This window comes from Homo sapiens, chromosome 6, assembly GCF_000001405.40.
Source record: "Homo sapiens chromosome 6, GRCh38.p14 Primary Assembly".
NCBI lineage: Eukaryota > Metazoa > Chordata > Mammalia > Primates > Hominidae > Homo > Homo sapiens.
Window position 1 is genome coordinate 15,156,978 of NC_000006.12, and position 14,199 is coordinate 15,171,176.

General features: G+C 43.7%; 1 long non-coding RNA gene across 1 annotated transcript in view; it reads right to left on the minus strand.

The window, feature by feature from the left end:
• The window catches only part of LOC105374946 (uncharacterized), a 33,129-nt gene that overhangs the window by 13,193 nt on the left and 5,737 nt on the right, over positions 1-14,199 (minus strand). Inside the window, exon 2 of the long non-coding RNA XR_926520.1 lies at positions 4,042-4,225. This is a non-coding gene — a long non-coding RNA (uncharacterized LOC105374946). The remainder of the gene's footprint in view (positions 1-4,041; positions 4,226-14,199) is intronic.

Below are 14,199 nucleotides of genomic sequence, written 5' to 3' on the forward strand. Positions count from 1 at the left end.
ATGTTTTTTTAAATTAAGGATGAATCTAAGAAACACAATTGCAATTGAAAAAGCAATGCATACGTCTCCAGAACCTGCTCAGTCCTATCAAAAACAGCTAACTTTTTTTTCTACTAACCTTTTAATCTGAGTTCCTCTTCTTCTTTACTGAAAGATAACATCTACTCTTTGAAATCACCTCTATTGGTTAAAATTAATGAATTGAGGGGAAGGGAACCCTTGACAACTCTGCCTCCAGCCATGGCAGATTAATTTGTAACAGACCAACACAGTCTCTCCAGGAATATATGAACAAAATGGAGATGGGGGAAACCGTTTGTTGGGTGTCATCAGAGTGGTACCAAGGCATCCAGGACCTGAAGGGGCAAGATTCCATAGAGAAGGGAATCTTAGGTGTGAGCCTGATATTAGTCATCTGTAGCAGTTTTTCTTTTCTTTTGGGGAGGGGGGCAGGTTGTGGGGAGGTAGGGGAGACAGGGTCTCTCTTGTGCTGCCCAGACTGGAGTGCAGTGGTGCAATCATGGCTCACTGCAGCCTTGATCTCTATAGCTCAGGGGATCCTCCCACCTATGCCCCAGAGTAGTAGAACTACAGGTACACGCCACCACATCCAGCTAATTTTTTAATTTTTTTGTAGAGACAGGGTCTCACTATGTTGCCCAGGCTGGTCTCAAGTGAACCTCCCACCTTGGCCTCCCAAAGTGCTGGTATTATTACAACCATGAACCACCATGCCTGGCTGCAGTTTTTCTTTTCAGGGCATTTGATGATTCATATCAAATTATCAGAAAACAGCAGATGTAATCCAAGCACTTTGGGAGGCGAAGGCAAGAAGATCACTTAAGGCCAGGAGTTCAAGGCCATCCTGGACAACATAGTGAGACCCCCATCTCTACAAAAATAAAAAATAAATAAATAATTTCACTAAAAAAAGAAAGAAAGCAGAATGGTGGCTGAGAAAATAGAAAATCAGCAATCTGTATATGACCAGTTGATGCAGTAATTTCAGAAAAATAAGTCTTATTTCAGCCAAATATATATTACTAGCAGCAATGAGAAAGGTATTACCAACCTTTCCAAATGAGCACTCCAATGATATTCAGCCTGATCTTCATTAAGAATAGTCACTTTTCTCCTGAATCATAATCAGAATGGAATATATATATATTGAGAGAGTCTCGCTCTGTCACCCAGGCTAGAGCACAGTGGCACGATCGTGGCTCACTGCAACCTCCACCTCCCAGATGGAGGCAATTCTCCTGCCTCAGCCTCCTGAGTAGCTGGGATTACAGGCATGCAACACCATGCCTGGCTAATTTTTGTATTTTTTAGTAGAGACAGGGTTTCAATTGGCCAGACTGATTAACTCCTGACCTCAGATGATCCACTCACCTCGGCCTCCCAAAGTGCTGGGATTACAGGCATAAGCCACGGTGCCTGGCCCAAAATGGAATATTTTAAAGCCTTAACAAAATAAACATTGTAAGTTAACTTGGTGAATAGTTAAGTAATCAATGATAAAGAACCCTACAAATTGCCAGGTATGGTGGCTCATGCCTGTAATCCCAGCACTTTGGGAGGTCGAGATGGGTGGATGGCTTGAGCTCAGGAGTTAAAAATCAGCCTGAGCAACATGACAAAACCCCATCTCTAAAAAAAATACAAACAAAAAAAAATCAGCCAGTCGTGGTGGCATGCGCCTATAGTCTCAGCTACCCAGAGGCTGAGGGGGGACGATTGCATGAGCCCCAGGAGGTTGAGGCTGTAATGAGCCATGATGACACCACTGCACTCCAGCCTGGGTGACAGAGCAAGACCCTGCCCCCAAAAACAAAACAAAAAATAAAAAACAAACAAACAAACAAACAAAAAACATACAAATCGACCAAAGGCAAGAGAATGCTCTGTTGCATGTGGGTTCTCCAGAAGCAGGTGCTAAGATAAAGTCTGGGGTATAAGATGTTTATTAAGGATCAACACGTGTCAGGCCAGGCACAGTGGCTCATGCCTGTAATCCCATTACTTTGGGAGGCTGAGGCGGGCGGATCATTTGAGGTCAAGAGTTCAAGACCAGCCTAGCCAATATGGCGAAACCCCATCTCTACTAAAAATACAAAAATGAGCCAGGAGTGGTGGCAGGCACCTGTAATCCCAGCTACTCAGGAGCCTGCGGCGGGAGAATCGCTTGAACCTGGGAGGCAGAGTTTGCAGTGAGCTGACATCCCACTGACTATTTCACTAAGAGTGAAACTCTATCTCAAAAAAAAGCAAAAACAAAAACAAAAATTAGTCAGGTGTGGGGAGCTGGGGGGTACAAGGTTGTAGTGAGCAGAGATAGCACCACTGCACTCCAGCCTGGGTGCTAGAGCCAGACCTTGCCTCAAAAAAAAAAAAAAAAAAAGGAAATGGAGTCTTGCTCTGTCACTCAGGCCGGAGTGCAGTGGCACAATCATAGCTCACTGTAGCCTCTATCACCTGGGCTCAACCGATTCTCCTGCCTCAGCCTCCAGAGTAGCTGGGACTATAGGTGCACACCACCACATCTGGCCCAGCTTCTAGAACAGTGCCTGATATATATGGAAATGCAGTACTCTTCATGGAGTAGGTTAATTCCTGAGTAGAAGCATATTGACTTCATTTCTTCACCTTTGTTCCATCCTCCATCTACCCAGGCAACCCTTCTTAGCTAAGGCTATGGATTGGAACACCTACAAGTGGTTTTTCCACGTGGACCTGGGCTTTCTCAAACATGGTGTCTGTGTTCCAAAGGTGAGCATCCCTGAGCGGGGAAAGGGGGGTCAGCCAAAAACTATATGGACTTTCATGACAAGCCTCAGAGATCAAATCTCATCATTTCCATCACATTGTATTTGCTGAGGCAGTTATAAAGATTTTCCCAAGGTCAAAGTTAGGGAACAACCTGTCTCAGTGGAGGAAGGTCAGTGTCACATTATAAAAAGAATATGTGAGATGAGATACATACTATCTGCCATAACACTCAAATTTCACTTGCAGTCATGTTATCAGGCCTCCCCACTCTAACCATGCATTCTTTTTTGTTGTTGGTTTGCTTTGTTTTGTTTTGAAACGGAGTCACTCTGTCACCAAGGCTGGAGTGCAGTGGCGCGATCTCGGCTCACTGCAACCACCACCTCCCAGGTTCAAGCAATTCTCCTGCCTCAGCCTCTCGAATAGCTGGGACTACAGGCAAATGCCACCACACCCGGGTAATTTTTTTTTTTTTTTGTATTATTAGTAGAGACAGGGGTTTCACCATGTTGGCCAGGCTGGTCTCGAACTCCTGACCTCAGATGATCTGCCCACCTCAGTCTCCCAAAGTGCTGGGATTACAGGCAGGCGTGAGCCAGTGTGCCCAGCCATTTTTGTTTATGTTTTGTAGAGACAAGGTCTCACTATGTTGCCCAGGCTGGTCTTGAACTCTTGGACTCAAGCAATCCTTCCTGTTTGGCCTCCCAAAGTGCTGGGATTACAGGCCTTTGCCACCACGCCTGGTGGGAATGCTTATTTCAGCAAGTAGAGGACTCACTTGGGCTCTGGGTGACTCGGAAGCAAAGCCACATACAACTGTCATCACTGTCACCTGTGTCAGCATACTATTTGCATTTGTTTTTTTCTCCTCTTTTCCATTGTTTATTTGTCATACTTACTTGGTTCATGTTATAGAAAATATATTTTCTTGGGAAAGAAGAAGACATTATAGTATAGTGTTAAAACTCCAGGTTTATTTATTTATAAAGAATGATTGTGTCATCATTAGGAATTTTAGTGTGAATTCTATGCTGGGTTGCCCATTTGATAGTAAGTGAATTTCAGATGAAGTCAGTTCTAAGACAATAATTCACTTCTGGGCCCTCAAAGTCAGTGCCCAACTCAGTTCTTTTTAATATCAATGGGATGTATTCATTAGCCAGAGTTAAAATAATCTAAAAACTTCTTCCAACAAAATAATTGGATTGAAATAACATCCAGAGTGGTTAGACTGGAAAAAAAAAGGCATTATTCAATTTCCAAATATAGTACCTTGAATAATAAAATGATCTCATTCTTGTTTTATTGTGGGTATTGCTTCATAATTGTCCTTAATGTTCATTCTTTATTTCTTCTTGGGAAGATCAGAAAGGGGTGACTGAAGTAGAAGCGAAGTCAGCAACTTATCTTCAGGCATAACTACTTTTCCTGTATCCTGAACCCTCGAGAGGGATTTCTGAAGAAAGAAAGAGAAAAATTACACCTTATCCAATGGAATGTAGAGAGTTGGAAATAAAAAGGCCTTAAAAATTGTAACACATATCTTTCTGGCTTATGACCACATTTTCTAACATCTGTTGAGGGACATTTTCTGACCGAAAGGCCTGTCAGTATCAATAAGGAGAGACGCTTTCCTCATTGTTCTAGAATCTACAGTGTCCAGGGTTATTGAAATGCATATATACTGCAGTTCATAGCAAAGGATGGAGAGCGGGAGTGAAGAGGGAAGGGAAAGAGGAGCAGGGATTAAAGTGTGGAGTCGCCCCTGGCCCTGCTTTGAACTCTCACTGGCTTTTTGGAACTTAATCAAGATCAAACAGGCAGTTGCCGCCAGCTCAAGGCCTCTGGTTCTCTATAATTTTTGGAGTAGATTTTGAGGTTACGATTATGACGTTTTGTGGTAACTTTAAACTGGAAAGTATTGCATTCACCTTTTATATTCCCCAAAGAAAGAAGAAATGCCCAGCCATGTAATGAAACTCCTTTCCATCTGACCATTGTGTTAGGAACAGATTTCACACTAAGCAAATCTTTGCAACCAGACTCAAATGTTTCCCATTACAGCCGTGCACAGGTATCAGTGTGCAAGGGGCTGCTGCAGAGTGTGCAATTCTCCCAGCAAAATGCACACACTTGGTGGCTTGGATAGAGTATCAAAATCATATCCACGGTTGAAAATTTGTTTGCACTTGTGATCACCACACCTTAGAGCCCAAACGATAAGAACACAGGCCGGGCGTGGTGGCTCACGCCTGTAATCCCATCGCTTTGGGAGGCCAAGGGGTGGGGGTGGGGGTGGGGGCGCCGATCACGAAGTCAGGAGTTCAAGACCAGCCTGACCAACATAGTGAAACCCCATCTCTACTAAAAATACAAAAATTAGCCAAGCATGGTGGCACACACCTGTAGTCCCAACTACTCGGGAGTCTGAGGCAGGAGAATTGCTTGAACCCGGGAGGCAGAAGTTGTAGTGAGCCAAGATCGCGCCACTGTACTCCAGCCTGGGTGACAGAGCAAGACCCCGTCTCAAAAAATAAATAAATAAATAAATAAATAAGAACACAAATTCCATAAATTGTTTTGAAAAAAAATCTGATTTCACATAACATACATGGCTCAAATTGTTGCAGCCTTAATTCCTTGAATAAGAATTGCTCATTTGCCACGTCTACAACATATCTTACTAGAATCCTTCACAGTTTAGCAACTTGTGCTTCCCTGTAAAACCAGCGCTAAAAAGTGACTTTTTTTTTTTTTGAGATGGAGTCTCGCTCTGTTGCCCAGGCTGGAGTGCACTGGTGAGATCTTGGCTCACTGCAACCTCTGCTTCCTGGGTTCCAGCGATTCTCATGCCTCAGCCTCCCAGGTAGCTGGGACTACAGGCGTGTACCACCATGACTGGCTAGTTTTTGTATTTTTATTAGAGAATTGGTTTCACCATGTTGTCCAGGCTGGTCTCAAACTCTTGACCTCAAGTGATCCACCTGCCTCGGCCTCCCAAAGTGCTGGGATTACAGGTGTGAGCCACCGTGCCTGGCCTCAACAGAAAGTTTCAATCTACCACAATATAATTGTTACCGTGGTTTTAGGGGAAATTTCCTTCCCCTTCACCTTGTCTCAGAGTAACATTAAAAACACTCAGTTCTTATAAAATAGCTACAGACTACAGCCTTTGAAGCCAAATTAAAGCCATGATGTATAACTAAAATAATGCTAATGAGAACAGAAACAATAGCAGTTATAAGATGCTCTTATTGGCCGGGCATGGTGGTTCACGCCTGTAATCCCAGCACTTTGGGAGGCTGAGGCGGATGGATCACCTGAGGTAGGGAGTTCGAGACCAGCCTGGCCAACATGGGGAAACCCCGTCTCTACTGAAAATAAAAATATCAGCTGGGCGTGGTCGCGGGTGCCTGTAATCCCAGCTACTTGGGAGGCTGAGTAACGAGAATCGCTTGAACCCGGGAGGCGGACGTTGTAGTGAGCCAAGATTGGCTACTGCACTCCTGCCTGGGCGACAAGAGCGAGACTCCATCTCACAAAAAAAAAGATACTCTTATCAAAGACTTCAGTAAAGTTCATAAATGGCATCTTATGAATCCTTTTTGAATAGCAGGCATTGTTATCTCCATGTTATCGGATGGGGAACCAAGACATTCAAAGATAACTTGCCAAGGTCATCAGATTCCTCAGAGCCACACCAAAACAGAAAGCCATAATGGTGTATGCTGCCTTGGTCCTCTGGGGTGTGTCTTTTAGAACTTCATGCTGGAGTCCATCTTACATTCTCAACTCAGAAGCCAACTTGGTTTGCATACATACTGGGAGTAACTTTGCTTTTTGTTTGTTTTTTAAGTAGATATGGGGTCTCACTATGTTGCCCAGGCTGGTCTCAAACTCCTATCTTCAAGCCAGCCTTCTGCCTTGGCCTCCCAAAGTACTAGGATTACATTCATAAGCCACCATGCCCACCCTAGGAGTAACTTTGGTACAAAATTGCTGGGCGCAGTGGCTCACGCCTGTAATCCCAGCACTTTGGGAGGCCGAGGCAGGCGGATCACGAGATCAGGAGATCAAGACCATCCTGGCTAACACGGTGAAACCCCGTCTCTACTAAAAGTACAAAAAATTAGCCGGACGTGGTGGCGGGCACCTGTAATCCCAGCTACTTGGGAGGCTGAGGCAGGAGAATGGCGTGAACCCAGGAGGTGGAGCTTGCAGTGAGCCGAGATCGTGCCACTGCACTCCAGCCTGGGCAACTGAGCGAGACTCCGTTTCAAAAAAAGAAAAAAAAAAGAGAAAATTTACTGACCTAGGAAAGAGAGAAAGAGAGAATAGAGAGAGAAAAATAAAGGCTATCTGTGACTCCTCAAAGAAGTTATTTCTATAAATGTCCAATAGGAGATCATTTTCAGAGTCTTTTACAGCTTCAGCATAATTGAGTACAACTTGCATGACTCAAATACACACTTCTATCCTGAAAATATCCTTTTCTATAATAATTTCATATTTTTGTTTCGTTTTGTTTTTAAGACAGGGTTTCTTTCACTCCTGCCACCCAGGCTGGAGTGCAGTGGCGCCATCTTGGCTTACGGCAACTTCTGCCTCCCTGGCTCAAGTGATTCTCCTGCCGTAGCCTCCCAAGTAGCTAGGACCACAGGCACGCGTGCCACCATGCCCAGCTAATTTTTGTATTTTTTGTAAAGACAGGGTTTCACCATGTTGCCCAGGCTGGTCTTGCACTCCTGAACTCAAGCGATCCGCCCACCTTGGCCTCCCAAAATGATGGGATTGCATACGTGAGCCACCAAGCCCAGCCTCGGCATTTTAAATTATGTTGAATACTTTCTCCTGAGATCCCAAATTTGGTACAATAGACATTAATATTTAAAACTGACAGTTGTAGCCGGGTGCGGTGGCTCAGGCCTGTAACCCCAGCACATTGGGAGGCCGAGGCGGGGGGATCACCTGAGGTCAGGAGTTTGAGACCAGCCTGACCAACATGAAGAAACCCCTGTCTCTACTAAAAATACAAAATTAGCTGGGCGTGGTGGTACATGCCTATAATCCCAGCTACTCAGGAGGCTGAGGCAGGAGAATAGCTTGAACCTGGAAGGCGGAGGTTGCGGTGAGCTGAGATGGCGCCATTGCACTCCAGCCTGGGTAACAAGAGCAAAACTCCGTCTCAAAAAAAAAAATAAAATAAAATAAAAAATAAAAATAAATAAATAAATAAATAAATAAATAAATAAAACTGACATTTGTAATTGATTTCAATATGTATTACATCATACTAAATATATCTGCTGTTCTCTTATTGTATATTGATATCAGAAAAGATTACCTGATCTCTTGCTTGAAAAAAAGAAAACATGTAGAATAAACATGCATTTTTTTTTTGAGACAGTTTCACTCTTCCGCCCAAGCTGGAGTACAACAGCACAATCTTGGCTCACTGCAACCTCTGCTTCCCTAGCTCAGGGGATCTTCCAGCCTCAGCCCCCGAAGTAGCTAGGACCATAGGCGCTTGCCCACGCCTGGCTAATTTTTGTAATTTTGGTAGAGACGGAGTTTCACCATGTTGGCCAGGCTGGTCTTGAACTCCTGAGCTCAGGTGATCCACCTACCTGGGCCTCCCAAAGTGCTGGAATTACAGGCATGAGCCACTGTGCCTAGTCAGGAGTTTCTCAGAGTTTGTATGAGATTCATCCAAAGAGCCACTCTTTCTTTTTTATTTTTATTTTTTGTTTTAATTAATTAATTTTTTTTTTTTTGAGACAGAGTCTTACTCTGTTCCCCAGGCTGGAGTGCAGTGGCATGATCTCTGCTCACCGCAACCTCTGCTTCCTGGGTTCAAGTGATTCTCCTGCCTCAGCCTCCTGAGTAGCTGGGATTACAGGCATGTGCCACCATGCCCGGCTAATTTTTGTATTTTTAGTAGAGACAGGGTTTCACCATGTTGGCCAGGCTGGTCTGGAACTCCTAACCTCAAGTGATCCACCCACGTCGGCCTCCCAAAGTGCTGAGATTACAGGTATGAACCAATTTTAATTTAAATATTTTATTTCTTTATGTGTTCAGAGTCAATAAGAATTCTCTTTCTCCTATTCTTTCCCACTTTTTATGGTCCCAATTCCAATCATCCTAGACTACCACCAAAATGTTCACTGGCTCCAGTTTAAGGTGATATTGACCTAGAAGTGTATGCATTATCAATTGTTAGACTTTCGAGGCCTAACAATTTTCCAGGGTCCAAAGGCCATCATTTGTAATGGTAGAATTTCAGCTATGTTGACGGATGGAGCCATTTTTGAAAACCAAGTCAATTCTCTTTAACTCAGGTTACAGAAGGAACTTCTTGTATGTAAGGCAAGTGCTGAATACAGATTTTGATTACTTTTCAGTTTATGTTAAAATTTCAAAGCCTAACAAAGATGAAAAGTCATCTACCAAAGAATGATGAACATTGACTCTCCGAGCCCTTGAATTCTAAACCACAGACTGATTGGAAACCCTTAGACCTCAGCGGCCCCACCCCCTATCGCACCCCCAGTGCTTCCGTTAATTAGTAGGGGTAAAGAGGGAGCCAGAAGGGAAGGGAGAACTGGGGCCTTACAATAGGATCTGTCAGGAGTCTAAGCTCCTCCTCGGAAGAAACCCTCTAGCCACAAGGATTACTGATGCCTGTAATTCTACAATTAAAGAATCATTGTTCTCTTAATAAAATGAAAATACCCTGGTGATAGTTTAAGTCTTACTCCATAACCTAATAGTATATCTCAACACCTACAACAGCAATACTTAGGATGTTTGGCAAAACTCACGATTCCTGGATGTCAACACAGAAATCACTGAATTTCGTCTTTTTTTTTTTTTTTAATTTTTTTTATTTTTATTTTTATTTTTTTGTGTGTGTGTGAGACGGAGTTTCACTCTGTCACCCAGACTGGAGTGCAGTGGCACGATCTTGGCTCACTGCAACTTCCGCCTCCTGGATTCAGGCAATTCTCTAGCCTCAGCCTCCCGAATAGCTTGGATTACAGGAGTGCACCACCATGCCCAGCTAATTTTTGTATTTTAGTAGAGGCAGGGTTTCACCATGTTGGCCAGGCTGATCTTAAACTCCTGACCTCAAGTGATCCGCCCAAACCGACCTCCCAAAATGATGGGATTACAGGCATAAGCCACCACACCCGGCCCAGAAATCACTGAATTTCTAACTCAAATTCTCATTTGATCCTTATGCACAGTGAAGTAGAACGACTTCTGGCTTAGAGCTAGAGAGAAATAAAGAGGAAGCAAGAGTAGAAGATGAAGCCCGGGCAACATAGCAAGACCTCATCTCTACAAAAAAAGAAAATGCATAAAAATTAGCGAGACATGGTGGTGTGCGCCTGTGGTCCCAGCTATTTGGGAAGCTGAGCTGAGAGGATCACAGAAGCCTGGAAAGTCAAGGCTGCAGTGAGCCCTGATCATGCCACTGCACTCCAGCCTGGGCAACAGAGCAAGACTCTGCTTCTAAGAAAAAGAATTGAAGATGTGGGATTGGGGTGAGGGGGATGTGGAATCAAAGATAAACACTCATGAATTATGGTGTATTTGACAATTTAAGCCACTCCTGAAAGGCACCGAGAAGGACCAAAAGGGAAATCAATGAGAAAAAGGAAAGGAAGGGTGCACAAATTTTATGCACCTGGCATGGACTTCTAAAATGTTGTTCTGCATTAAATAGGTCTCTACCACCTCATCAAGGAAAAAGTTTTGGTGTTGCTCTTCTTTCCTTTCCTTATTTCCTTTTTTTTTTTTTTGAGATGGAGTCTCACTCTGTCACCCAGGCTGGCGTGCAATGGCGCAATCTCAGCTCACTGCAACCTCCGCTGCCTCCCGGGCTCAAGCAATTCTCCCACCTCAGCCTCCCAAGTAGCTGGGATTACTAGCACACACCACCATGCCAGCTAATTTTTGTATTTTTGTAGAGACAGGGTTTCGCCAGGTTGGCCAGTCTGGTCTTGAACTCCTGACCTGATGTGATCTGCCCGCCTCAGCCTCCCAAAGTGCTGGGATTACAGGCATGAGCCACCGTGCCTGGCCACCCTTATTTCCTTTTTATTTAAAAAGGTTCCTTTCCATATTTAACATATAGAATTTTGCTTAGGAAATATGGGATTTGTGGAAAGTTAGGAAGGCATTTTTTACAAATAAATGCTGTGTATTAATGAATCCTACATCTTTTCCCACATTTATTTCTTCAAAGATGTCTACAAAGATAGTATTTTTGCAGGTTCTTTTTTTCTACGTAACACCTAACTTTAAAAAGGCAAAATATTATTCACACAAATATCTTTTACTCACTCTACCCAATATTAGAAGCATTATAGGCTCCAAAGACTATCATGATTAACCTTCCTCGAATAAAACTTTAGGGATCTGCTTTGAACCCACAAAAGAAATTAAATGCACAGTTAAGACTGATTTTCATCATCAAGTTGCAACAGGGAATTGTCTTTAAAGCCGTCTCCTGCTGCCTTCATTAGAGTCTTGATCTCTTGCTGCAAATTTATATTCCTTTGTGGGTTTAAGGCAGATATTGGGTATCCTTTTAATTTATTAGGCAAGCTATTGATGAGTCTCATTCTGCCACAAATTCATGAACAATATTCCCGTGGCCACTCTAGTGGGAGTCTTAAGTGAATACAACATCTTCAAGATAAGTGACCATTTTTCACAGGGTAAATGGTATATTAAAAAACCAACATGTGGCCAGGTGCGGTGGCTCACGCCTGTAATACCAGCACTTTGGGAGGCCGAGGCAGGCGGATCACAAAGTCAGGAGTTCAAGACCAGCCCGACCAACATGGTGAAACCCCATCTCTATTAAAAAATATATATATACAAAAATTAGCTGGGTGTAGTGGTTCATGCCTGTAATCCCAGCTACTTGGGAGGCTGAGGCAGGAGACTCACTTGAACCTGGGAGGCAGAGGCTGCAGTGAGCCGAGATCACGCCATTGCACTCCAGTCTGGGCAATAGAGTGAGACTCTGTCTCAAAAAAAAAAAACCCAAAATGTGCAAGTTAAAAACGTGTATCAGCCTCTGCTTTAAGATCCACTTTGAGGCTGGGCACAGTGGCTCACGCCTGTAATCCCAGCACTTTGGGAGGCCAAGGCAGGCAAATCCCTTGAGCTCAGGAGTTTGAGACCAGCCTGGGCAACATGGGGAAACCTCATCTCTATTAAAAATACAAAAATTAGCCAGGCGTAATGGCAGATGCCTGTAATTCCAGCTACTTGGGAGGCTGAGGCAGGAGAAATGCTTGAGCCCGGGAGGCGGAGGTTGCTGTGAGCCGAGATTGCACCACTGCACTCCAGCCTGGGCAACAATAATGAAACTCCATCTCAAAGAGAAAGCAAAACAAAACAAAACAAAAAAACAAGAGTCACTGGGTCTTTTCTAGCTCGGCAGGACGAAGAATGACAACTAACTCTAAAGCATCCATTCCATTCCATATTTATGGAGCATTTGCCAGGCGTTAGGAATTGCACTAGGTGCTAAGAATGCAAAGATCAAGGGCAGGGCGAGGTGGCTCATGCCTATAATCCCAGCACTTTGGGAGGCTGAAGTGGGAGGATTGCTTGAGCCCAGGAGTTCGAGACCAGCCTGGGCAAAGCAGTGAGACCCCCTCATCTCTGAAAAAATAAAAATAAAAAAATAAGAATGCAAAGATCAATAGCATATTGTCCCAGTTCTCACTCACTTGGGTTTGAATCCTACCTCTATTCCTTACTTCTAGTTGGCTTTGGGTAACTTTGACCACTTCAAGCCTTCTTTTCCTCCATTATGAAATGGGGAAAGTAATAGTATCTACTTACAGTAGATATCCCATGAGCATTTGTTGGAAAAAATTGTGTCTACTAAGTGAGAATCTTAATAAGTAAAATGAAGTTACATTTATTGATCTCCTCCTCTATGCCAGGCACGGAGCTTAGTGTTTCACATACATTATTTTCATTTCTACAACAACTGTCAAGGTGGGGGAAACAAGCAGTTATAATACAACGTGGTAAGAGCTATACTAGTGGCACCTGCAAACTGTGATGAGAACACAGTGGGGAGGCATTAGCTTTTTCTAGGGAACCCCATAGAGACTTCACAGAGAAGATAGGGAAGATTTCATAACAACAATAATAATAACAGCAGTAGCTAACAGCCATGGAGAACTCATTCAGCACCAGGCCCTGAGCCACAATACACGCCTTCAGTCAACGAGCACTCCCTGAGCCTTCCTCCTCGAGGTCTTAGCTCCCAGAGAGGGATGTGGTCCTATCATCCCATTTTGTAGAGAAAGAAACTAACCTTTAGAGTTGCTAAATAACGTGCCCAAGGTCACCCAGCTGGTAACGGTCAGGGTCAGGATCCAAACCTGAGTGTGCCTGATTGCAAAGCCCACACGCCGAGGAATGGTGCCTTCCTCCCTTTATGAATGTATGGCTTTATTAAGAGCTAACCAGCACACAGCAGCTGCGCAAATGACAAATTTGTGCGCTAACATCCAACAGACTGTAGCCTCCTTGGGGGAACTGTGCAGAACAGAGCCTGATACTGAAGGCGCTTAATTCTTTGGGAAGTCCAGCGTGTTTGATTCCAGCTGTACAGCCCCAGCTCAGAGGAGCTGGGGACAAAGGGCTCCATCCTGGGACTGGGGGAGGTGGCTGAGGTGAATAAAGTGCTGTCGAGAAATCAACTGCATGGCCTTGAGAGATGAGTTAACCCTTTCAAGACACCAGGCTAATATTTGGTTTAATTATCTCTTCCAAGGTAGTAAATGACACTCCAATGGTCTCAGTAAATTTATCTCTCAAATGGGAGCCATTTACTAACCTACTTCAGGCCTCAACCCTTCTGTCTTAGACAGCTTCTCTTTAAAAGGCCAGTTGTAAGCAAGTTCTCTACTTGCCTGCTTTAAAGAGAGTGGAAAGAAGTCCCTAAAACTTCCCAAGATTACTTTTAATTAAAAGGATACAAATCCTTATTTTTTCCCATTTCTCCAACCTTCTGTGCTGAGGGGGGAGATGAGATATTTAGCAAATAAAAGGAGACCTTTTCTTCGAATTTCAGAGCTGTTCAATTATAAACACGGCTGCCTGCGAAGTTGGAAATCAATTCAACTGCAATCTTCTTTAAAGCTTTTTAAATGCAACTGCTAACCTGTCTAGATGTTTAACTTTCAGGTTTCAAAACCTGTCAGTTAAAACTTGCTTACTGTTACTCCTTTTCTCTGAAGCTACCAGCCAGAAGAGAAATTATGTAGCAAATTGGAAACAAGGAACTAAGACTTGATAGCAACACAAAAGGCTAGCTGACGGGCTGGAGTGCAAGACACTACAATTCTTGCTCTGAAAATGAATAAGGATTAGAGGGCTCATCTACTG